The sequence below is a fragment of the Homo sapiens genome, chromosome 6 (assembly GCF_000001405.40).
Source record: "Homo sapiens chromosome 6, GRCh38.p14 Primary Assembly".
In the NCBI taxonomy this organism is placed as follows: Eukaryota; Metazoa; Chordata; class Mammalia; order Primates; family Hominidae; genus Homo; species Homo sapiens.
This window is the reverse complement of record NC_000006.12, coordinates 33,436,516-33,461,349: the sequence shown is the minus strand read 5'-3', so window position 1 is coordinate 33,461,349 and position 24,834 is coordinate 33,436,516. Positions and strand designations below refer to the sequence as shown.

The following is a 24,834-nucleotide window of genomic DNA, read 5'->3' as shown; positions in this document are numbered from 1 at the left end:
TGGAAGAGGGCATAAAGGGCCCTGAAGAACTGTAGCATGTATGAGATGGGTAATGATAATGACAACATGTAATCCTTACTAAGTACTATGTGCCTCATTTCCAATTTTGTTGAAAATATTTTGCCCCTTCACTAGAAATTTTTCCATTTCATCTAGAAATCTCCCAATTATTAGGCCAGGCTAAGACCTCTGCTATGTGCTCTGATAGCTCTTATTTCCCCCTATCTTGCAATTTCCTTTTTTTTAAAAATTTTATTATTATTATACTTTAAGTTTTAGGGTACATGTGCACAATGTGCAGGTTAGTTACATATGTATACATGTGCCATGCTGGTGTGCTGCACCCATTAACTCGTCATTTAGCATTAGATATATCTCCTAATGCTATCCCTCCCCCGTCCCCCCACCCCACAACAGTCCCCAGAGTGTGATTTTCCCCTTCCTGTGTCCATGTGTTCTCATTGTTCAATTCCCACCTATGAGTGAGAATATGTGGTGTATGGTTTTTTGTTCTTGCAATAGTTTACTGAGAATGATGATTTCCAATTTCATCCATGTCCCTACAAAGGACATGAACTCATCATTTTTTATGACTGCATAGTGTTCCATGGTGTATATGTGCCACATTTTCTTAATCCAATCTACAGTTGTTGGACATTTGGATTGGTTCCAAGTCTTTGCTATCGTGAATAGTGCCGCAATAAACATACGTGTGCATGTGTCTTTATAGCAGCATGACTTAATAGTCCTTTGGGTATATACCCAGTAATGGGATGGCTGGGTCAAATGGTATTTCTAGTTCTAGATCCCTGAGGAATCGCCACACTGACTTCCACAATGGTTGAACTAGTTTACAGTCCCACCAACAGTGTAAAAGTGTTCCTATTTCTCCACATCCTCTCCAGCACCTGTTGTTTCCTGACTTTTTAATGATTGCCATTCTAACTGGTGTGAGATGGTATCTCATTGTGGTTTTGATTTGCATTTCTCTGATGGCCAGTGATGGTGAGCATTTTTTCATGTGTTTTTTGGCTGCATAAATGTCTTCTTTTGAGAAGTGTCTGTTCATGTCCTTTGCCCACTTTTTGATGGGGCAATTTCCTTTATTATGAGTGTGATCTCTCTCTGGGAGAACTGATCGCAGTAAAGGGGTGGGGAACCGATGACTACTGGTCTCACTCATGATAACAGCTAACACTTATTGAGTGACTACTGCATGCAAGGCATGGTTCTAAGTATTTTACATGTATTAATTAATTCTCACTACCCTGTGAGCATGGTTAAATGTAATGAACTACAGAGACAGAGAGGGGAAAGATAAAGGAGAGAAGTGATAATTAAAAGAGCAAAGGCTCTGGGAATGGGGCTATCCTTTGACACTAGATTGGACATCTCCTCCACTGCATCTTCTGAAGGACAGAGGCAGAGAGGTAACAAGTTTATTTGTTTAAACCAAAATCTTTAATTTCAGCACTTGTTTTCTGTATAATACCTAAAAACAAAAGAAGAAAAACTCTAACAAGCTATTTTAATTGCTTTGATACAAGTAAGGACAAAGTGTCATGGGGATTAAGGAGAGGGAAGAAACAATTCTGCCTTAAGTCCAGCGGGCAGAGGTGGAAGTTGGGCAGCTTCAGCGTATCTTGAACACCCACTAAGTAGCAAGTATACCTGAGGCTTTGGGATCCCAAAATGTGTAACATATGGAGATCGTCCGGTGTGTGTCTCTGTTGCTGTGGGCTGGCCAGAACCCATTCTCTTCTGTCCTAGGACTTCAATTGCTTTTGAGGATTCCATGCCCACTTTGTTGCCATCTTGATGGACTATATGATCAAGGTGCTCTGACCAGAGGGTGGTCATGAGGCTTAGAGTTCTTTCCCTGGGAAATTTTATCTTGAGATGAGTGACACAAGAAACAAGAATGAGTCATCATCCCAAACTGTATGCCTTGGAGTTCCTGCGCCATGGACCCCCAACGCTGACCCAGGTCTTATCCTTCTGATGGCTGGTCCTTTGGCCCTTCTTTGAATTCCAAGAGCCACCCCACATCCTGCCATAAATTCCTTGTCTGGTGAGGTTAGCCAGAGCCAGCTTCCAGTGCTTGAAGCCAAAGGATCTTGGCCAATGGATATAGCCACCCATAGAATATGTGTCAAGAATAGCTGATGGATGGGATTATAGCAGATCCAAGACAGGTTGACCCCTCTTCATCCCCTTTCCCAATAAGTTCACAGTCCTTATCATGGGGATGGGATCATGGCATGGCTCTTTTGAGACACTGTCAAATCCCAGCTAGAATTTACCTTCTTAGCCACAGTCACATTTTTCAGACCCTTCTGAGTGCCATACCTCATAACTTTCAGAAACAAACTTTGGGGAAGGCTATCACCCCTGGCCCTATACTTCTCAGTTCGACTCCTCTGTTTACCATCTCCGTGTCAGTTCAGCCACCCACACCCATGACCACACTGTGGCACATGGAAGCTGTGTTTGTGAAACCTCTGCTGACCTAGAGAAGGTCTTTACTTAGCTTTCTTTGTGCCATTCAAGTGGTTTGTACTGCCCACTATCATCAACTTATCCTATCACGTTGTAATGGCTTGTCTATCTTTGGTAATACCTGTGAACCCTTTAAGGGCAGTGTATTAATCAGGGTCTAGCATAGTGCTTTGCACTGAATGTTTGTAGAACAACCAACCAAACACAGAGAACACAGGAAGTTGGGGAATATTATAAAGATCATGTGAACCAGCCAGGTGCGGTGGCTCATGCCTGGAATCCCAGCACTTTGGGCGGCTGAGGCAGAAGTATCACTTGAGCTTGGGAGTTCGAGACCAGCCTGGGCAACATAGTGAGACCTTGTCTCTAAAATAATAATAGACTGGGTGCAGTGGCTCAGGCCTGTAATCCCAGCACTTTGGGAGGCCCAGGTGGGTGGATCACCTGAGGTCAGGAGTTCAAGACCAGACTGGCCAACATGCTAAAACCCCATCTCTCCTAAAAATACAAAATTAGCCAGGCGTGGTGGCACACACCTGTAGTCCCAGCTACTTGGGAGGCTTAGGCAGGAGAATCGCTTGAACCCAGGAGGTGAAGGTTGCAGTGAGCCAAGATCACGTCACTGTACACCAGCCTAGGCGACAGAGCAAGACTCCGTCTCAAAAAATAAATAAATAATAATAAAAAGATAAGTGAACCAACCTCTTTTAAAAAGGAAAACAGAACCAGTTAGGTGTTCCACACCACTCTACCAAAAAAAGTACTAGTTCAGATTTTAAAACGTAAGGCAGGCCAGGTGCAGTGGCTCATGCCTGTAATCCCAGCACTTTGGAAGGCTGAGGCAGGCGGATCATGAGGTCAGGAGATCCAGACCATCCTGGCTAACACGGTGAAACCCCGTCTCTACTAAAAATACAAAAAACTTAGCCAGGCATGGTGGCGGATGCCTGATAACCCCAGCTACTCAGGAGGCTGAGGCAGGAGAATCACTTGGACCCGGGAGGCAGAGGTTGCAGTGAGCATGCGATTGTGCCACTGCACTCCAGCCTGGGCAACAGAGTGACACTCTATCTCAAAAAAACAAAACAAAACAAAACAGTAAGGCAACCTACTGAAGGTTATTAAGTAGCAGGTCAGGGCCTAAGTCCAGAAGAGTGTTCTTGGCACCATCCAAGGAATGGGTGTGATACCATCCCATTCCTTCCCCATCAACATAACCTAGCCACCTAAGGAACACACCCAAGGCTCTGCAGCTCCATTCTCACATTCTCTCCCACACAAATTACTCAATCCAGTCCACTGTCAGTTTAGGTTTCAGGGCACAGTTTATTAAAAAATTTTAAGTAACTGCAAGTCCCACCCCCGATTCCAGTATCTGTCCCCTCCATATCTCAACAGAGGGGCTGTCTATCATATGTGGGTGGGATGGGAAAGGAAGAGGTATGGTCCTACTATGCAAGTTACTCTCCAGCCTTCAGCTTGTGCTGTCCCAAACCTGAGTCCCTCTGACCAAGGTAAGTTGTTCAGAGAGCAGTGGTGCCACCCTGACAGCACTTTAGGACAGTGCCATCTCCTGAGATCACTAGTCACATTCCAGTCATTGTGACCAATATATTAGTTATCAGTGGTGGTCAAAGGTAGACCAGAGGCACAGGCTGTTGAGGGAAGACCCTCTATTAAAGAAGGTTCTAAGAATGAAACATGGAATGCTCAACTTGTTAAAGTGCTCAGCTACAACATTAAAAAAGTGTCGGGAAGGTGTCTATTGGTGAGAAAGCAAGGTACAATCTGAGGGGCTCCTGGAAAGATACAATTTTAAAAGTACACAAAAGGACTTCTGCTTAAATCATTCCAGCAATGAGAGAAAAAAGCTTAGAGCTTAGCCTCTGAATTACTTAAGCTGTAAATCAAATGTATCTCTAGGTGGAGACCAACTCCTTCAATTCCTCATGGAGACGGAATAAAACATTTACCACTGTCTTTTGCTCTAACTCTTCTCTCACTAAATAATTGAAAATCTGGTTTCCTTAATGGACATCACCACCACAAAAATGTCCACCATGGGCAAGTGATCAACTTAAGTATGAATGGCCTATAAACCACTTTCCTGCAGGGTTGGCTAGCCAAAACCTGGAGTGGGACGAGAAATTTGAGTTTCCACATCTGCCAGGCTGAGAGGCCCATATCTAAGAACAAGAGGTCCATAATGTATCTATTCTCTTGGCATGATTACAAGATCCATGACTGGTGTGCCATGGCAGTGAGGGAAAAGTATCCATCAGCAGCAGTGGTTATCTTGTTCTAGAAGCTAGTGTATAGCCTCAGCAGTCACTTGTAAGTCCAGTGGGCAGTGGCCCAGCCCTGGCCCTTGCATAGGTCCCGGTGGCGGAGAAAACAGGCATGGACTCGGAACCGACGGCCACAGTGGGGACAGGCATGCAGGGCTCCAGCATGGGTCTTCATGTGCTCTGTCAGATGGTGCTTCAGCTTGAAGCGCTTGTTGCAGATGCCACAGCCAAAAGGCCGAAGGCTGAAGGTCAGCATGATGTGCCGGTCACGCTTTGGCTTCACTGCAAACCGCTTCCCACACAGGCAACCAAAGCGTTTTCCATCTGCAGGGGGTGTCCCCCCTAGCTTCACAGGCCCATGCACGGCCTGGCCTGCTCCCCCAGGTCCTCCACCCCCTGACAGGATTTCATTCCCATGAAGATCCACTGGTTTCCAGGATGGACCCCCTCCCCCAGATGTTGGCCCTGGCCCTGAAGGCAACAAGAACCCTAGCTCCCCATTCCCTTCAGTGTCCCCTCCAGAAAACACTTTGGTTTCCTCCTTTGCTCCTCCAGGCTGAGTTCCGCTTCCTGATATCTCCTCCTTAGGCTCGAAGGGTTCCTGCTTAATGTAGAAGATTTTGGGGGGCAGTGCAGGAGGGGCAGGAAGCTCAAGTGGTGCACTCTCACCCTCTGGAAGCTTTCGGGGAGTAGCAGTCATGGGCAGTGGGTGGGGTCCATGAGGACGGGGAAAAACCCCTGATACTCTCTGGGGCTGAGGAGTCTGAGAGAGTGTGGCTGACCCCTGGTCCTCATCATCATCATCTTCCTCCTCCTCCTCTTCTTCTTCCACCTGAATTTGCAGCACTTCTCCCAGTTCACTTCCCTCCCCTCCCACAGGGCTCTCAGTGGAAGCAGGGCTTTCAGTAGAAGCAGAGGACTGTACTGGGGTCTGGAAAGGCGAAGAGCGAATGCACCAGCCTCCTGTAGAGGATGTAGTGGAAAGAAGGGCATGGTAGGAGTTTCCTCCACGGGCTGAAATTCCACCACCTGAAGTTTCTAATTCTCTAAGAATTTCTGAGCACTGATCTACTACCTGCCACATTTGAAGGCCACTGGCCACAAGGAGATGAGCAGGAAGAGCATCCAGTGGCAGGCGGAGACGCCCTGAATAAATGAGCTGGAGCAGCCCCTCGAAGGCATCGGCTTCAATGACACTCGGTAGAGTGAGACGAGGCGCATCCCCCAGAAGCAGCTTGTCATGGAAGTAAGGAGAGGCAGCAGCTAACACTGCTTTATGAGCCCTAAGTTCCCGGCCCTGCACCAGGAGGGACACATCACAGAACTTTCCCTCTAGCCTGTGGCGGTTCAGAGATTCCAGCAGAGACGAGCTATGCTGTGGGAACTCGATCTGGATTGTCCGTGGGGCTGGGTTGCAGGTCGGGGAGGCGGGTACAGGCGGCAAAGGTGTTGGGGTTTCCATGGCCTCCTCGAAGGTGACAAGAATTGGGAAGAGGAGAAGGGCTTGGGGGTAGACTCCACGCGGGATGAAGGCTGCAGAGGAAAAAGATGGAGGTCACAGAAGCCCTGGATAAAGGGAGCCACATCTTCTCAAACAACCCCCTCCCCACGAGCAATAACTGGAAACTTTTAAGTCAGTGGCGGTTTCTGCAAATCAGTCCCGCACACCAAGAAAGCAAAAACAAACAACAACAACAACCACCACCACTAAACACCAACAGGGGTTTTAACTTCCAGCCCCTGTGGAAGATAAGAAGGAGGTCCTTCAGCCACCAGCCTGCCTTCACCTGCCCAGAACAGCTCCTGCCCCGCCGCTCCGTTCCGCCTCACAGTGCCCACAGAGGTCTGCTCCCGGGAAGCCGCGGTCACCCGGACACCGCGAGTCCCGGCCCGATTGTCCTTCCCGCCGACACGCCCCCGCCGTTACACACGCGGCGCTGCCCTCGCAGTTACAGTGCCGCTACAGCTCCGTCCCAGACCGGAAGCCGCCGCCTCCCCGCCGGACACCGTCGCCAAGTGCGGCGGGCGGAGCTAGAGCCGTAGCCAATCGAGGAACGGCAGCCTACAAGCCTCGTGTTGATTGGCTACTGCAGACGAGGAGGGCGGTGCTAGTAGGAGGGCACAGGCCCAGGGTGTCCTCGCAACGGGCGTCCCGGGGAGCTGCTGAAGTCCTCCCCGCTGCAGAGGACCGAGAGGCAGGGCCCGGGAGAGAACAGCCCGGTCGGAGGGGGTGGGCCGTCAGCCGCCCCGGAAAGCTGCGTTTCCCGGTGATTAAGTGTAGCACCCGCCCCCGGTAGGTCCTGAGAGGGGCGAGATTAGTTGGGTACTTACCATGTGGGCCTGGCACTTGCCCACATCACTTTGTGTCTTCCCACCGGCCCTGCGAGGGTGGGGGTTGCCGTCCTCAGTTTCCAGGCGGGGGAAACGGGCTGGAAGCGTCACTCAGCTAATAGTAGTGGACCTGGGACTGGAACTCAGATTTGCTAAGGAACCAGGCAGGTTCTTTCCTGTTTTCTGCACGGGAGCATTTTAACCAGCAATTAAAGAAACCTTATTTCTAGGTAATTTTTAAAAGAGATAAATGTGGATATATACATGAACTCTTTTATCAGATAACGCCGCTGTTCCTGGCCTCGGACTAAGTGACACAGTGGTGAGGGGAGAGTTAGATTGGAGAAGTTTGGCCGGTGCAAAACTCCTGCTCTAAAATATAAAAAATCTCATTGGGAGGGGAGAGTGACATTCTATGAGGAGAGTGTGGCATCAGGTGGGGATATACGGTTTTCCTCTCAGGCTGTCAGCTTCCTTTCAGAAAGCAGATCTTACCACCGTACAGGTCTGGAGAGCCCTGCCTAAGAAAGTCGGCACAGCGATAAAAGAACAATCTCCGTTTATTAAACATGTTTTTTTCTGTTTCACCACACACTCCAGAAAAAAAGGAAATGGGGCTGGGAGTGGAGAAAAGGGGACAGTGAGGGGGGATAGATAAGGCTGGGAGTGGGGTGGGGAGGGAGAACGAGAAAACAAAATAAAACAGGTAGGAAGAGCAACTCCCTACCCTTGAGGTGGTGGGTGGGGAGGGAAGCAGAGGGGCGGGGGGGGAGGGGGCCAGGAAGCTCTGTACAGAAGGGTTGCCCCCAGCCCACACACACACACCCCGGATATGTACAGTACAAACCCCAGATAATTACAACAGCCAAAGAAGAGAGAAGGAAGGTTGGGGAGGGTCCAGGGGTAGGGCCTGAGGTGGGGAAAGGGCACAGGGATAAAATTTCACATATTTACAACTTTTATATAAGTATAAATTTGGCCCCGGCTGGGTGTATGTGTAGGGGGATGGGACTGAAGGGGAACTGTCCATACAAAAGAAAGAGGAGTAGAGTCTAGGAGAGTCTCAATACCAAACGCAAAAGGATGAAGGGGGCAAGGCTGGGTAGGGGACAGCAGTCAGGGAAGAGGGGGTGCCAAGGAGGGGCTTCTCCCCTCCCATGGCCTACCCACCCCAAACCCCATCCATCCTACCTCCCCTATCCCGCCAGAAAACTATGTACAGAGAAACACCGAAAAATCGTGGAGCTGGCGGGAGGGAGGGAGGTGGAAGGAGATTGGGAGGGGGAGGATGAGAGGGAAGCCCAGCCCTGTCCTACCTCCCCCAGGGGACAGAGTCATGGAAGGGGGCCCCCCAACACCCCTCCTCCAACACAGGTCCCCCCACCCTGGGGGAGAGAGACATGGCTTTTCCTAGAGTAAGTTCCCCCCTCCCCCTGGGAGTAGAGACCAAGAAGAGAGAAGGAAGGGGCAGAGGGGACTGTGTGTCAGAGTAGGACAGATCAACTAGCCTGTCCTCCCAACATACACACCCTCCTAAACCCTGACCCCTCACCCTAACCTCAATTCCACCCCACCCAACACACTGGGGGAGGGGGGGGCATAAGCCCCCTCACCCCGCTCTGGGACCAGCCGAGAGCAGATCAGGTGTGGGGAGAAGGGGAGACAACTCCCATTCCCCCCTTGCCGCCCCCTCCCTGCCCCGGTGGCCCCCTCCACCCCATCTGGGTTCTGGGTGGGGAGGGAGTAAATTTAAGAGTGGTAGAAGGAGAAGGAGTTTGTGCGTGCTGAGCCCCCCCAGACGCTCCTGAGAAATCAAGGGGTAATAGGGCCCCCTCACCCGGGGTCCCCTCCCCATAACAAGGGGGGCAGGGGAGGCCAAAATGGGGCGGTGGAGGGGAGTTAGATTGTCAGCTCTGGTTACTGCTAAAAAAATCACCCTGAAGTTGAAAGTTTGGAGGTGCCACACCCCCAGGGTGGGGGTGAGGGTCTGTCCCCCAGTGCTCAGGGGAACGATGAGGCAGAGGATGGGGATAGCACCCCGGAGTGAAGGGGTCTGTACGGGGTAGGCGGTGTCCTGGGGCAAGGGTCCCTGGGGGTCAAAGAGAGGGCAGCACCCCAATGGGAAGGAAAAGGGGGCGGCTGAGGGTCCCCACTCTCCCTCCTGGAAATGGTGCAGTGGTGGGGGTGGGCAATCAGTGTGCCTCCCAGGGAGGCATTCGGGGAGGCAATCCCGCTGTTCCTCGGTGATGTCCAATCCTGGTGGTTGGTGCTGTTACAGGGTGGGGTGCACAGGAAAGGAAGAGAAGGTCTCTGATGCTGGGTGGGCTAGTGGTCTGCGGTGTTTCGGAACTCGCCGTTCTCCGTAATCTGCAGCCGGGGTGGGGGTGGTGGGGCTGGGGGGGCCAGGCCATTCCACGGTGGGGCCAGCGTCACACGCGGGTTTGTTGGACCCAAGGGGGGAAGCTGCCTCTCCTGCAAGACACCAAAAAGGAGAGCGCGGACTTATTGAGACGCTTCAAGGGGGCCTGGATGCCAGTCCCCTAGCAGTGGCCTCCCCTATAGCCAGCCCACACCACAAGCCATGGACCACCCCCTCCTCCCAGGACAGTCCCCACCATCCTCCTATTTTGTTTCTCACCTGCAGTAGAAGTTAACGTCCTCTGGGATCAGAGAGAAGAGAATCTCACCCCTAGACTCCTAACAGGGGCCTTCAAGCCTTTAACCCAGAGTGTCACACCAGGAAACCAGATCAAAACAGCAAGTTCCCACCGCACCCCCAACCTAACCCTTCTCTGGCTTCACCTGTGTATATTCCTTGCCCATCCCACCCTCCTCCTCTTGAAACCCCCTCCCACCCATCCCCAATCCGAGGTGGGAACTTCATGTTGAGGAATAAGGGGAGGCAGTACAGCAAAACCTCATTAATCCAAACCCCTGTGGATTTGGAATTTCTTCATAATCTGAAGAAAAACTGAGCTTGCATTTTCCTTTATCTGTGAAGAAAAGGTGTACTAAGCAAATTAGTGGTGGAAATATGTCTGTAGGAGGGGATATTTAACCCATACCAGAAAACAGACTTTTGAATCCTATCTATTCATTAATGCATGCTCCCTGAGGAGTGGAAAAAGCCTTGTTCATCGAGTTCTGTATATATTTTGAAGACATGCATTTCATTAAATAGACACTGTCATTCCGTTTGTCACTTATTCACAGTGGCCATCTTCTCAAATATAACATTCCAAATTAGAGAGAGGTTTAACTGTACTGGGGGGAAAGGAAGGGGATTCAGGGAAGTGATATGGGAAGGGAAAAATCTTGTGGGAGGGCTGCCCCTCTCTCTCACAATTATGGCGGAAATGACTAGGAGCTTCTGCAGACACAGCATGCCCCAATCTCTGCATCCCTGGGAAGCAGAAACTGGCTTTATTCTTTTCCACTCCCATCTTCTTTTCAGTCCTTCTCCCTGGGCTCCCAATTAGAGGGTGAGGGGTACCAGACCAGCTCCTACCCCTGGTTCTACTCTCATCACCTCCTATAGCTCCTTGACCAACTCCTGGTTCCTGCCCTTAGCTCCGCCTTCTGTTCCTCTGCTGGGAGAAAAGAAAGCCATCTGAATTTCCCTACGCTTCTGGTTGGGAAATTCACTTCCTTCTCTCTTTGGCTGTTGTAATTATCTGGGGTTTGTACTGTACATGTCCGTGTGTGTGTGTGTGGGCTGGGGGCAACACTTGGCTTTTTAAAATTCAGGCTCAAAACTAATTTCTAATTAATGGCTGAGTTGCAGAGAGACCAATACCTACCACAAGTGGTTTAGAACAAATGTCCAAATTATTTCCTGGGCCACATGGCATTTAGGCTTGGTAATATAGCTATGTCTGACCTTAGGATACAAAACCTTCCAAGTAAAAGCTTCTATATAAGCTCTCCCTTCCATCCTAGGATCAAGGAGCTAACCTCTCAGATCACCCAAACCCCAGCCTTGGGTATGAGATACCCAGCAAAACTGCCTTCTTAGCTTGCTGGGTATCTCACACATTTTCTGCAAGTCAGTGAGAGGAAATCACTTATGGTAGGGTATCCTGAGTATGGCGGGAGAGCAGGGAAGGAACCCCCAGATTCCATTCCCTCTGTTTGTCTGCTGGTGACAGCACATAAGCATGCCCTGGACACCCCCATGGACCCAAATTTAGAAAGTGGATAAATTAGGGTGCCATTATTCATTTTACAAAAGAATTCACTGCAGGAGTCCTTTAAATGGCAAAGTCCCCTGGTGCCTTTTAGCATCTTTATAGATCACCAGCTACTTTGACAGAGAGGCTGGGCAGGCAGAGAATTAAAATTACAGTGTAAGGAGCCACTGCCCACTGCAGCTCAATCCCAAAGAAAATCGCATCTCAGAAATGATGGCTATAGCTGACAGGTTCTCATTTACTGGCTTTTTAGGTAGGGTGATGTGTCCGGCAAGGCCACTCGATGGCAGGAGAGGGGGAGTGAGTGGCATCAGCAACCTGGGGATGTGAGCTGTGAAGAGTACATTCTTTACCATGCTGTTCCTGGCACCTCTCCCTGGGAATCAACATGCCTACTGAGCCCACGATCTGATCTAGGAGGATGTCTCTCCCCATTTCTAAACTCCCAGGCCACATGATCAAGTCCATGTCCTAACATCTGCCTGAGGTTCCTTTCTTGCTCCTTCTTGTTCCATCCACCCTGCCTAATGTCAGGACATCTCAATAGCATTTTTTCCAGGGTATCTCAAGTCTCCCTGAGTTAACTACCCACTCCTAATTCCCACCCAATGGGGGCTAATATGAGCTTCAGATGCCTTCTGCCTCACAGATATAAGGAGGAGGAAGAGAGAGAATCAGGTGAGGAGTGGAAAGGAGGGTAGAGAACCAAGATTAGGGAAGGAAGAGGGAAACCCAACCTACCTGCTGCAGTCAGCACAGCCCCTATAGCCAAGATCCTCCAACCCATCATTGCCTCCACCCCATTAACAAACCCACCCCCAGCCCCTAAGGACGCTCTGGTGAAATGGGGGGTGACAGACATACACTGGAGAGGTAGAGGAAGAGGAGGGCTTAGAGTCAGGAGGAGGCTGGGAGGGGGTGGGTTTTGCAGGGAAGTGGGTGTGACCTGTGAATGTGCTGGGCCCATCTAGGGCCCAACTCTTGGTGTTGCTAAGGTATTGTTGGACAGTTCTGGGAAGCAGCAGCAAATGCTCTCTTTGGGTGGTGTCTTGGGAGATGGATCTGTGCAGGTGTCGGAGGGCTGGAGTCTGTGGAGGTTCTCTGGGTGTGGAGGGCAGCAGTGAGAGGGGAGAGGCTCCGGAGGTGTTGGAGGGAGTGGGCTTCACGACCAACCTGCAGTGGTCCGGAGTCACCTCCCCCTGTGTCCTCCGCCCGTGGCCAAAGCGGAACCAGGAGAATTACCTGATGAGGAGCTGCAGTGGGAGAGAGTGGGGTCATGGGGTCAGGAGCCTTGGTGGGGGGATGGCAGGCGGGGGGAGCCTAGCAGTCAGAGCAAAGAGGAGTATGGGTAGGAAAATGAGCAGAATTTTGGGAAAGCAAGGGGTAAGGGTGCAGAAGGGAGGTCCTAGAAGCTGGCTTGTGAGAAGAGAGGCTGGGCAGCAGGCAGCTGGGAAGGTCTGAGGGCCAGAGTGGGAGGGAGGCCAGAGGGAGGCTGGACTTAAATACTGAGGGCAAAGGGAGGTTACAGGATGGAAGGCCTTCAAGATCTGAAGAGTCAGGAAGAGGAAGCTATGCAGGAGCTGCCAAGGAGACAGGAAAATTAGGGAGCCAAGAGAACAGAGGTGATGGGTCCCCAAGTTTTCAGGGTACCGGCCAGGGCCTGGAGAAACTACAGATCATACTGCCCTGTGCTCTATTCCAGAAAACGGCAGCTTCTAGCCCTCTGGCCCAAGAGCGCAGAGGAAGCTGAACAACGTGGCTTGAATAGGAGTGAGCAAAGAAGGGGCAGGGGTTCTTGGAACTAGGTGGGGTCTAGGGGCAGAAAGACCAAGGTTCTGGTAGAGAAGGTCCTGAGATGCAGAGAGGAGTGGGAAGACTGGATGGGAAGGCACAGGAGTTGGGCTGACGCTGCCAGGAGTGACAAAGGCACAGACGATGGGATGAAGATGGGGTCACTAGGGGGCTGCCAGGAGCAGCCAGTGGACAAACAGCAGACTATGAGAGACAGATGGTGATGGGGCTAGGTGGCTGGTGTAGTGAGTGCACGAAAGACAGTGGGATGGATGGGGATGGGACACGGAGAAGATAAATGACATTGTAATTTCCACCTGAGCGTCGAGCAGCCTCTTCTTGGGTTCTGGCAGCGGCTCAGCCATGGCGGGGTGGTCCCGGCGCAGCTCCTCCTCCACCAGCATCAGCCTGAAGGGACGGGCTTCAGTGGGGTTAGTGGCGGGCACAGGCTCAGAGCCTGCCCATGGAACCCCATAGCTCTCTGGAAAAACCTCAGGCATCCTTATCCCTTAGAATCAGAGTCCCTCCATTGCCGTGATGCAAGACTCCCTGTTCCTCAGGATCATGCTCTCCACCTTCCTCCCAGGAACCCTTACACCTCCCTGCTAAGGCAGCTTTCTGTGCCTCAAAGACTTCTACCATCCAGACACCTCCAGGCCTCCATCGTCCCAATCAGGACAGCAGTGCCCCTTCCCCAGACCTTCCATGGCTGAGGACCTGGCTTCTGCATCCCCCATGTCACCTCACTGTGAAGATCCTCGAGGTGATTTATCATAAAGGATATCAATTAGAGCAGTGGTTTTCAAAAAATATTTCAAGAAGCCCTTTTCTTCTAATTAAATCTTACATAAAATACATTTAGAATGGATCAAAATGGAGGTGGCTCTGGTTGGAGTGCGCCCAGGGTCCCCCCCACCCCGACCCCACCACTCTGAAGATAATTGACCTCTTTGCTGAGGATACCCTCTTTGGAGCCCAGGACTTGCTGGAGCAGCTGAAAACATACACAGGCTAAAAGACCCTTTCTAACAGAACACCTTTCCAAGGCTAGAGAGGGAGGGTCCACCCAGGAAGGGCAGGGCCTACTCTGGCTAGGGAGCCCTGCTTAGGTTTGGAGTGAACATCACAGGTTAAGTTGAGAATAACTAGTGGGGAGCTCTGGCCTAGGGTAAATGCAAATGCAGTGATGGTTGGACAGGAACAGGTACATTTTCCAAGGGCTTCCGAAGCTACTCTATCAGAAGAGAGGTCAGGGTTTGGTAAAGAGATATTTAATGCACTAAGCAGGTTGGGGTTTCTCTCCATCTGGTGATGAGTGAGTGGGTGGCTTCCTGGGGAGGAGAGTGGTGGGCTCTCCTGGTGGGCTCCTGAGTTTGGGGATGGGAGTCAGCGGAGTAGCTCACCCACTTGCTCTCTCCAGCCTCAGGCTCTCCCTCACAACCCCCTCCCCAGGCCGCCCCTCACCTGCCAATGATGCTCTTGATCTGGGAATCCTTCTCTGCCTGCTGCTGCCTTAGCCTCTTCTCACTCTGCTCCAGTCGGGCCTGATACTGCATCAGGATTTTGCTGGTTTGTTCTTCCTGGGACAGCAGCCTCCGCTCATACTCTTCCAGCTTCCGGTTGGACATGTGCAGCCGCTCTTTCAGTGAGTGAATCTCCTCCTCGTACTCCTTCACCTGCCCGCCGGGCACACGACCCCGCACTATGAGGGGCGCCCCACCCCAAGCCCACCACCCAGCCTCCATCCCTGTCTGCCAAGCACAGCCACTGCATGTTGAGGGACATCCAGCTGCCTTCCCCAACCCCTTCCCTGCCTGTGGATCATATCCACACACCTGCTTTTGAGAAGACCCTGCCATGGTGCTGAGGTTCCCTCAAAATGGAGCAAGGTCACAGACTCCCACACCCTGAGGTCTATGTATGGCCCCTCATGAAGACCCACACAGAAACCTACACTCACAAACACACCTTGAGTAACTGTGCTCAGAAATTAAAAATAGGGTGACTCTTCAGCCCTAAGCCAGGCCCCAGAACACATGCTGGAGACATAGGAAGAAAAGGCAATTGACGGGGGAAAGGCAGGTGCTGTCCTCCATGTGACCCTCTCCTTGGCTCTGTCAAGGTGCCAAGGATAGGAGGTCTACAAGTGAATTCTAGGCTGAGAATCTAGGAATTCCAGAGCTGGAAGAGCTCAGAAGAGTCATTTTATCTGCCCTATTGGCTCTAGAGTCTACAGCTGTGCTGTCTAATATGGTAGCCACCAGCCCACATGTAGCTATTTAAAATTTAGGCCAGGCACAGTGGCTCAACACCTGTAATCCCAGCACTTTGGAAGGCTGAGGCAGGTAGATCACTTGAGCTCACAAGTTCTAGACCAGCCTGGGCAACATGGCAAAACCCCGTCTCTACAAAAAAAAAAAAAAAAAAAAAAGAAAAGAAAAAAAACTAGCCAGGCATGGTAGCACGACCCTGTAGTCCTAGCTACTCAGGGGGCTGAGGTGGGAGGATGTCTTGAGCCCAGGAGGCGGAGGTTGCCTCGAGCCATGTTTGCACCACTGCACTCCAGCCTGGGTGACAGAGCAAGACCCTGTCTCAAAAAAATTACAAAATTAAAATTAAATAGATCTAAAAATTCAGTTCCTGAATCACAACTAGACACATGTGAACACTACAGATTACAGAACATTTCATCACTGCAGAAAGTTATATTGGATAGTGCTAGTCTACAGCCTTTCTCAACAAGGTTTCCTCATCTGAAGCACAGAAAAAAAAATGATTCAAAAGACTATTTCCTCATTCTCTGAAGAGGATACATACATATATCACCAACCCTTCTACATGCAGAGGAGAGATGTGAATTAACTTCCTACGGTGGCTGCCTTGGGGCTAATATTAGGGTTTAATTCTCATTAAATTTGCTGGTCAAGCCCATCTGAGTCAGTCCCAACATTTCCTATGCTCAAAGACCACTTCCCCGTGTTAGGATCATATGTTCTTTATATATGACCTAATCCTGCAGCCGCCCTCTTCCTCAGGCCCTAGGAACAACAGCTTCCTCAAGTAACTTTCTGCTAAGTTATCTGTGTTAGCCCCAGAGCTCTTGGTGCCCTTTGCCCTCAGCCTCCACCAAGTGAGGGTCTGGATGGTCTTTTCACACATGACTGATACATACTACTTTACCACATGCATTCCCTGCCCACTGACTGTCACTTATGCCCATGGGACAGTGACTGGGTAGGCCAGACATCACTTGTAATATAGCTGCAACCCCCTCCATCCCCATCCAATTTATTAGCTCCTACTGCCAGTAAAGTAACATTTCCTTTCCTAAGCAGTCACAGGAGCCAGGGCTTATGTTCCTCCTGGGGAAGAACATGGAGGTAAGCCTAAAATAGATGATCCCCAGATAGTCTATGATATATATAACCTACAAAATAGAGTTGAAAGTGACTTTTAACAACTGTGTGTATCTGGTCTCCCCAGATGGACGGAAGGCTTCTCAAGAGGTGATCAGGTCTTTGCCTTTTCTTACCACCATAACTGACCCTGGAGGTTTCCCTTGGAAGTGACTAGAGATCTCCCCTGTGGGTAAAAGGAAACACTGGGGCTTGGAGCTGGTAGAGCCCATCGTACCCTATCCAGCCGGCTCTCATCCATCGATTTTGAGTACTCCTTGAGCTTGTACTCTTCCCGCTCGATGTGGGCACTCTCGATGTCAGCCGACAGGTGAGGCATGTTGGAGACCCAGGCCACTGTCCGCTCAGAGGCTGGCATTGTGGGGTTCAATGTGGATGGTGTCTGAGAATGCTGGGACAAGGCACAGTGAGGGCGAACAGAGAAAGAAAAGGTGGGAAAAAGCAGGGTACATTTAGAGGGCAACAGCACAGCCAAAGGAGACGACAGTCCCAGTCCTATTGCCCTGCTGTAGCCTTTATCACCTCTGAATGCCAGAGATGTGAGTTGAATGCCAGAGAATTTCTCCTGTTGTTCTGATTCAGGATCTGATCTTCATGCCTCCAAGCCCCCAGCTGGCCCTATTCCAGTCACCCCCATTCTACTTATGGATTAATCCCCTCTGGAATGAGAGTGCTAAGAGGGTTCAGTGCCGTATCCTTAGTGCCTGGCATAGCACATGGCACATAGCAGGCCCTCTATACACATTTGTTTAATGGCCAAAAGGAGGCAAGAAGATTGTAACTTCAGGCCACAGACTCTGTTTCAACCCCACCCCCCATCTCCTTCTTCCCTCCCTGTTGTGACCCAGCCCGCCTTCCTCCTGCCTTCACCTACCTGCTTGGTGATGGAGGGCTTCAGCCCCCCACCCCCTCCGCCACCGCTGCCCCCGCTGCCCCCAATGCTGCCCTCCTTGCTGAGGCTCTGTTGCCGTGGACGGGCGGGGCCATAACTTGGCTCTGGGGACTGCAATAGATTCCCGCTGGATGGCCGGGGTTTCTGGGCTGCGCTGACTGTCAACTGCTGAGACTTGCCCCTCTGCAATGGAGGCGGCTGGCCCCCGCCACCCCCACCGCTGCCCCCACCGCTCCCACCTCCAGGCCCTGAGGGGGCTGGCCTCTGGGGACCAATGGTGATCTGGGGAGGGGACAGCATGTGCTGCAGGTTGTCCTGGAGTGAAAGCTGCCGACGGGTGAAGTCAGTGCCAGAGGGTCCAAACTCATCACTGTAGCTGTGGCTATGAAGGATGGAGGCAGCAGGGGGCTTGGGGACCCCGGAAGAGAGGTCCTCACTCTTGCTATAGCCATGGAATGGGGCAAAGGTGTCCCCAGGGGGCTCTCCACCTCGGTGGTGGTGATGGTGGTGGTGGTGGTGATGGGAGGAAGGTGGGCCATGGCCACCGCCCCCTCCATGGCCGCCTGGGGGACCTGGCCCATCAGCAGCCATGTGGAAGAGAGGGTTCTGGAAGGAGAGGGGGATTCGCAGTTGCTGGGCAGGGACACCGTCTGTGGTGACACCCATCTGGCTGAGGCGCATGCCAGCCGCCGTGATGGATGAGCCACTCCCCTGGGAGAGGCGTCCGGCAGGCGCAGGCCGTAGCCCCAAGGCTGCTGTCAGCGAGGCCTGGCTTGAGTGCAGCAGGTCCCCTACGGCCGCCAGGTTCGAAACACTGCTGCTGTTGAGGCGGCCACCAGGCCCATCACCCTGTAAGTCCAGCATGGACACACTCTTGTTGACACTCAGCATCTTCTGCTCTGGCTCTGTGATGTCCGAGCTGCTCGTGCAGTATGCTGGTGAGGAACGGGCCAGGGGTGGACGGCTTACATAGAACAGGTCTTTACCACCACCAGGCGGTGGTGGGGGTGGCTTTTCCTTGGTTGGGGAGGGGAGGCGAGCCATGTCCATAGAGCTGTCAGAAGGGAAGGGGGCACACAAGCAGAAGGTAAGGTCAGGGCTCCTAGCAATTGAACCTTGCTGTGGTCTGGCACAGGCCTTGGGGTGAAAAGTGGGACCCAGAGGGAAGGGCTGAGAGCTAGCGGTGGCAGCCCTGAAGAGGGCAGGCAGGGAGGATGGGAGGGGACAGGTGAGTAAAGGGAAAGGACAGGGCCCCTCCGGGAAGGGGGTGAGGCCTAGAGGAGGGGAGATGGGGGCAGCAAGAGAAGGGATGGGGGCAGGGCTGGGCACATATGGAGGAGATGAGGTCCATGGAGGAGGAGAGGAGAGGAGTAGGGCGAAGGCCAGTGGAGTGGGAGAGGGAACAGACAGGAGAGGAGAGGAGGGCGGGGGAGGGGAGAGCCCCTCACCTGTTGAGGCCTCGAGCCATGAAGGACTGAAGGTCGATGGAGCTGGAGAGAGATGGAAAGAGGGGCGAGCACAGACAGAGAAGGAGAGAGATGTGGACAAATGAAAGGAGAGGCGGGAATGGTGGGATGGGTATGGTGTCATGGAGGAAGACACGGGCAGAGGAAAAAGCAGGGCCATCATCAAAATAATGAGCAGCAAATGAAGCACGGGCACCACCTATCAGAATGGAGGCTGGGACTCTGGAGCAGGCTGCAGGCCCTGCTAGGCTTCTGCTGTCACTGCTCTAAGTGCTGGATCATGGGGAGGTCTGTGGGGTTGTGGTCGGGGGCTGGGGGAAGTGCTTATTCACTAGCTATTACTGAGATGTTTGAACATTTTGACACATGGCTGACATGACATGCTGGCTGAACCTCAGCCTGGGGACTAGCATGGGCAGGCAGAGGGACAGCAAATCAGAGCTTGCAGCAGGGATGCTCTAGGCTTACAACTAAGCCGTGAGTTGGTGGAGCCTCAGCCCTATTCCTAGAGCTCCAAATCTCTCACTCCCTCAGGCTGTAAAGGGCTCTCAGCCTACCACTGACTGTACCTGTCTCCTTATCGTCTCCCCTGAGAACTTGGTGCTTTTTCCTCCCTTCTTTCAAGCCCTAGAGAGATGCATGTGGGGCCCAGTGAGGAGTATCTAGAATAGGAGAAGGGCTCCTAGGGCACAGGCCTGGCTGTCCCAGGGTGCTCACCTGTTGAGGTCCCGCATCATGTAGCCCTGCATCTCAGCCGATGGCCCCCGCAGTACCACAGGCTGAGGCCGGGGCCGCTCACTCTGGCGGCTTGGCTGCCTTTGGATGTTGGGGTTCCTCAGAGCTGTGCTGATGTCGTTGAGGAGCCGGGGCAGTGGACCCAGCTTCAGGAGGGCTTCCTGGAAGGGTGAGGCTGTTACCTGGGGGCTCAGTGCCCAGCTCTAAGAGGGCCTCTGAGGGTGCAGGTGGAGGGGGCCTGAGTTGGGATAGTAGTGGTGACACCTCGAGAAACAAGGGGAGAAAAAAAATCTTCAAAGGGTAGTTTCTCAGGCTCCAGGAACCTCTGGAGCCATCTGGGGATAGGGCAAAGAGGGGATCTGCTGACCTTGCTGAGCTGGGGCAGCACCTCCCAGAGTAGGGCATGCAGTGTGGAGAGCTCTCGGCCCAAGTCGATGTAACCCTCAAAGCTACTGCTGTTGGTTAGCGTGTCCAGATTGGAGATCTCATACAAAAACTGCTGCATGGAACCCCATTCCAGCTCCAGAAACTCATTCATGAAGCCCAGAAAGTCCTCCTTTGAGGTAAACCTAGCCAAGAATGCAGAAGATAAAGGTCACATACACACACACACACACACACACACACATACACACACATACACACACACACAAGGTATCATAGCCTCCCCATCTCAGGATCTCTGGGGACTCAGGAGACCCTTCTTGCCGACCCCCAGCCCTGCCACTCCCTGCCCTGCCACTCCCTGCCCTGCCCACTCCTGAAGCTTCCCTCACTTGGAAAAGTTGGCCAGGTTCTGGATGACCTTGGCAATGAGGGTGAGGGTTCGTGAGGTCTGCTCATCTGGGTACTCCTGCATAAGCCCAAAGAGACTGGGCGACATAATCGCTGGGCAGAGGAAGCGCAGGAAGAGTGAGGCGCTGATAAGCCTGTCTGCGATGTCCTCCCGGCCTCGCTCTGCGCAGCGCAGCCGCCACGAAGCAAACACCTCCTTCAGCTCCCTCGGGAACACGCTGGGGGGAAGGGTCGGGGAGACAGAGAGAGAGAGAGAGAAAGAGAGAGACCGGGACTGAGCCCCAGAGACCCTCAGCTTCCAGGGAACATGCTGAGGGGGGTGGTAGGAGGTGAGGGTGTGGAAACAGGGGTGAGAGAGACAGGGAAGGAGGGACCGCAGGAGCAAGATGGGAGGCTGCTTGAAGAAGGGGGCCATGGCAGAGGGAACAGACAGATTAGGGAGAGAGAAATGGAGGGGGAGAGAAGGTGAGGGGAGAGACACGTGGGAGAGAGATGGAGGGGTGTGGGAGAGAGACAAGGAGAGGAGGAGAAGAAAAACAGACACCAGGGAGAGACAGAGATGGGAGAGAGATGGAGGGTCACTTGAGGTACAGGGAGCTCGGACCCCCCAACTCTTCTGGATTCCAGGGAAATGGGGATGGAGGTGCCCCAGGCATGATCCCCAGTCCCTGGAATGGCTCAGAGCTCACTCCCCGCACCTCCCAGTTCCACTTCAATGTCCCACTGACACCTTAAACTCGGCTGGTGTAAAGCAGAGCTCACCATCGCCCCCACACCTCCAACTGGCTCCTCCTCCTGACTTTCCTGGTTGTCAATGAGGCCACCGGTCTCCCAACCACCAGCCTCATGGCCTCTTGAGTCATCCGTGACTCCCCACAGACATGCTCCCTCCTTTCCAATAAGCTGACAATTCCTACTGATCCTTTCCCGAGAGGGTCCTTCCAGTAGCTCCTTCCTAACTTCTGTCACTGTTCTGATTCAGGATCTGACTTTCATGCCTCCGAGCCCCCAGCTGGCTCTATTCCAGTCATCCCCCAACATACATCCCTCTACTCTACTACATACACTCTACTTATGGATTAATTTTTTTTTTTTGAGATGGAGTTTCACTCTTGTTGCCCAGGCTAGAGTGCAATCGTGTGATCTCGGCTCACTACAACCTCCACCTCCCAGATTCAAGTGATTCTCCTGCCTTAGCCTCCCGAATAGCTGGGATTACAGGCATGTGCCACCACATCTGGCTAATTTTGTATTTTTAGTAGAGACAGGGTTTCTCCATGTTGGTCAGCCTGGTCTCAAACTCCTGACCTCAGGTGGTCTGCCCGCCTCAGCCTCCCAAAGTGCTGGTATTACAGGTGTGAGCCACCGTGCCCAGCCTATGGATTAATCTTCTAAATCACAATATTTCTGACACCTTTAATGGCATCCCAAGGCCTACCAATGACCTCAGACTCCTTGAGGCCTTCCAGTTTCTAAAGCTAATCTTCCTGCCCAGACATCTCTCCCGCCACTCCCCATTATGAGGCACATGCTCCACTAAACCTGATGTAATTGCTACTAACCTACTTTAATGTCCCCTGAAAACTCCTGGGCCTTTTCACCATCACACATGTGCCTTTCTCACAGCCTTCTTCTGAAATGTCTTTCTTGCCAACTATGTCCATATATCAGAACCTAAACCAGTCTTCAAAGCCTACCCAAGGGGGCACCTCTTCCCCACTTATCTCAAAGCTCTGCCTTCTCTCTGACCTTATGTCACACAGAGGTTGGGGGGACCCTTACTCAGCACTTACACACCATTATGGCTCTGTGGCTTTTTTTTTTTTTCTTCTAATTTGTCCCCATTCTGGTGGAGGCCCTCTGAGGGCAGGGACCAGGCCTCTTTCACCTGTTTGCTCTATAGCGCCTAGAACAATGCTTTGCCCATAAATGGTGCTCAGTCCTCTTTGAGGATGGACAGATAGATGAACAGATGAACACATAATTCCCCCGACCCTGGCCCCCCAGCCCAGCGTTCCCAGTCTCACCAGTGGGAGTTGACCACCTTGCACAGGGCCAACTCACAGCACATTCGCAGGTTGGCCTGGTGCTCTGCCAAACTGGATGCTGTGCACTTGATAGGGTCTACCTCGCAGTTTTCCTCAGATTCATACAGAGCACGGATGAATTCTCCTGGGGGGTGGGGGCACAAGAGGGTGTGGTCACACTTTCCAAGGGCAGGGAAGGGGGTGGCCAGGGTTGGGGAAATTTCAGAATCAGGTGTTGGAGGCTGGAGTCCTAGGACTCTGGGTTAGGAAGTATCAAGCTGTGGAAGGGTGGACTTGGGGTCTGGGGTGGACATCTGGCAGGTTTGGGAAGAAGAGGGCCTGAGTGTGGGCCATACCAATGGCATCCTTGAGGTATTTCTGACCAATCAGTCTCATATACTCTTCTATGGCTTTAGTGGCAAGCGTGTTCTCGCGGAATATGAGGTGCTCCCGTTCCATGAACCGGTCTACCTCAGACATGGCCATGTCTGAAAGGAAGTCCTGAGGCCCAGGAAAATCCAAGTGTCAGCCTCTGCACAACCCAATCTCGTGAATTTGCCCTGTCCTCACTAACCCCCAAGCAAGTGCCCATTCCCAAGTCACCTTTCCCTGAGGGCACAACACTCACCTTGGCCTTGCCTGTACTCTGCAGGATGTGAACTAGTGCACTGGCAACCTCCTCCTTGCCTTTGACATTCAGGGCGGGCTCCAAGACTGCACACAGCATCCGATAATGGTTGGTGACATACTCTGCAAACTCTTTATATAGCTCCATGGGCAAGATGCTCATTGTCTGGTAACGTGCTTTCAGCCGCACAGCCGGGCAACCTCCTTTGCCCTTGCCCCCTGAGCCACCCCCCGAGCCCCCTCCCCCTCCCGAACCCATGCCCCCAGATCCCCCACTGCCTGTTGGCAGGGTTACAGGGTACCACTGCTCTGTGAAGTGGCGCCCAGCCAGGGTGGCCACTGGCACAGTCACCAGGCCGACATAGCCTGCCTTGTCCTTCTTGCGCTTTTTGTCTGAGTCACGGTACAGATGCAGCCGCAGGGCACGGACAGCCGGCAGGTTGTTAAACTCGAAGTGCTCGCCCCAGAAGACGGTGTCCCCAGAGGCAGAGCGGGGCTTGGAGGTGGTGCGTGCATACAGCATGTCATCCAGGCAGAGCTCACAGTAGTACCGCTTCTTGGGGGGCAGCTCCCGGGCCTCTATGATCCACAGCTTTAGCACATTGTCTACCCGGCGGCTGTTGTCCTGGCATGGTGGGGTGGGCATGATGTTAAAGGGGGAAGGGACAGAGAGACACCAAAAGAGGAGAGACAGTAAGAAAGTGGGATACAGACAGCAATCATAAGGTGAGACGGTGTACTGGGTTGAATAGTATCCCACCAAAACTCATGTCTACCCTGAACCTGTGAATGTGATCTTATTTGGAAACAGGATCCCTGCAAATGTAATCAAACTAAGAAGAGGCCAGCCATGGTATCTCATTCCTGTAATCCCAGCACTTTGGGAGGCCGAGGTGGGTGGATTGCCTGAGGTCAGGAGTTCGAGCCAGCCTGGCCAACATAGTGAAACCCCGTCTCTAATAAAAATACAAAAACAAATTAGCTGGGCATAGTGGCACGTGCCTGTAATCCCAGCTACTCAGGAGGCTGAGGCAGGAGAATCACTTGAACCTGGAAGGCGGAGGTTGCAGTGAGCTGAGCTCATGCCATTGCACTCCAAGCCTGGGAAACAAGAGCGATATTCCATCTCAAAAAAAAGAGGCCATACTGAATTAGAGTGGACCCTTAACCCACCTTATAAAAACTGGTGTCTTTATATGGAGAGGGAGATTTGGAGACACAGAGATACAGGATACAGAGACACACAGAAGGAAGCCAGCTACATGAAGATGGAGGCAGAAATTAGACGGATGCAGTTATAAGCCCAGGAATGCCAAGGACTGCTGGCAACCTCCGGAAGCTAGGAAGAGGCAAGGAAGGATTCCCTGCTACAGCATCAAAGAGAGCGTGGCCCTGCTGATACCTTGCTTTTGGACTTCCAGCCTCCTGAACTGTGAGAGAATAAATTTCTGTTGTTTTACGTGACCCAGTTTGTAGCAGTTTGTTATAGCAGCCCCAGGAAGCTACTGTAGAAGCGTAGACATACACTAGACAACACAAACAGTATTGGAAAGATTTCAAAAGCTGGAATAACAAGCCAAAAATATTAATGTAGAATTTGAAGGGAACTGGAAAGTCCTGCAGAGACTATCAGAAATTGTGAAAAAAGAATTGCATATAGAATGGGTAAAGCTTGGCCAGATGTGGTGGCTCATGCCTGTAATCCTAGCACTTTGGGAGGCTGAGGCAGGCAGACAACCTGAGGTCAGGAGTTTGAGACTAGCCTGGCCAACATGGT

General features: G+C 52.1%; 2 protein-coding genes, 1 long non-coding RNA gene and 1 other non-coding gene across 24 annotated transcripts in view, besides 1 other annotated feature; 1 reads left to right on the top strand and 3 right to left on the bottom strand.

Annotated features, from left to right (window-relative positions):
* On the bottom strand, nucleotides 3,806-8,267 carry ZBTB9 (zinc finger and BTB domain containing 9). 2 transcript variants are annotated; one of them, XM_047418350.1, is made up of 2 exons: nucleotides 7,119-8,267; nucleotides 3,806-6,320 (listed from the first exon to the last, which is right to left on the bottom strand). In XM_047418350.1, exon 2 carries the CDS (start codon nucleotides 6,247-6,249, stop codon nucleotides 4,828-4,830), a length of 1,422 nt encoding a protein of 473 aa, XP_047274306.1. In that variant the 5' UTR covers nucleotides 6,250-6,320; nucleotides 7,119-8,267; the 3' UTR covers nucleotides 3,806-4,827. The 2 variants fall into 2 exon arrangements, with proteins under 2 accessions (XP_047274306.1, NP_689948.1); NM_152735.4 differs by lacking the exon at nucleotides 7,119-8,267 and adding an exon at nucleotides 6,575-6,774.
* SYNGAP1-AS1 (SYNGAP1 antisense RNA 1) lies at nucleotides 6,945-23,987 on the top strand. Its single transcript, NR_174954.1, has 3 exons — nucleotides 6,945-7,080; nucleotides 14,552-14,744; nucleotides 23,869-23,987. It is a non-coding gene; the product is annotated as an SYNGAP1 antisense RNA 1 (long non-coding RNA).
* Nucleotides 7,661-24,834, bottom strand: part of SYNGAP1 (synaptic Ras GTPase activating protein 1) — a 35,523-nt gene continuing 18,349 nt past the window's right edge. For 4 of the 20 annotated variants that reach the window (XM_047419455.1, XM_047419450.1, XM_047419456.1 and 1 more), the window contains 12 exons: nucleotides 23,059-23,682; nucleotides 22,787-22,931; nucleotides 22,431-22,575; nucleotides 20,385-20,621; nucleotides 19,976-20,177; nucleotides 19,591-19,769; nucleotides 18,856-18,897; nucleotides 17,390-18,461; nucleotides 16,733-16,906; nucleotides 14,564-14,775; nucleotides 13,414-13,507; nucleotides 7,661-9,590 (listed from right to left, as the gene is read on the bottom strand). In XM_047419455.1, coding sequence (XP_047275411.1) covers nucleotides 9,444-9,590; nucleotides 13,414-13,507; nucleotides 14,564-14,775; nucleotides 16,733-16,906; nucleotides 17,390-18,461; nucleotides 18,856-18,897; nucleotides 19,591-19,769; nucleotides 19,976-20,177; nucleotides 20,385-20,621; nucleotides 22,431-22,575; nucleotides 22,787-22,931; nucleotides 23,059-23,682 — 3,273 coding nt within the window. In that variant the 3' untranslated portion in view covers nucleotides 7,661-9,443. Of the gene's footprint in view, nucleotides 9,591-9,756; nucleotides 12,562-13,413; nucleotides 13,521-14,563; nucleotides 14,776-16,732; nucleotides 16,907-17,389; nucleotides 18,462-18,855; nucleotides 18,898-19,590; nucleotides 19,770-19,975; nucleotides 20,178-20,384; nucleotides 20,622-22,430; nucleotides 22,576-22,786; nucleotides 22,932-23,058; nucleotides 23,683-24,834 lie in introns of those variants that run through there. The other 16 variants (XM_047419453.1, XM_047419466.1, XR_007059351.1 and 13 more) reach the window with 15 other exon arrangements.
* Nucleotides 22,913-23,019, bottom strand: MIR5004 (microRNA 5004). The gene has a single exon (NR_049800.1). It is a non-coding gene; the product is annotated as a microRNA 5004 (primary transcript).
* Nucleotides 23,320-23,497: a silencer, noted in NCBI's record as "fragment chr6:33405630-33405807 (GRCh37/hg19 assembly coordinates)". NCBI's record gives its function as "represses an EF-1alpha promoter that drives an FKBP-Casp9 reporter gene in an ReSE screen in HepG2 liver carcinoma cells {active_cell/tissue: HepG2}" and the evidence as "EXISTENCE:reporter gene assay evidence [ECO:0000049][PMID:32094911]".

Coding starts and splice junctions, on each gene's coding strand:
- ZBTB9 (XM_047418350.1), bottom strand. CDS start 6,249: ATGGAAACCCCAACACCTTTGCCGCCTGTACCCGCCTCCCCGACCTGC.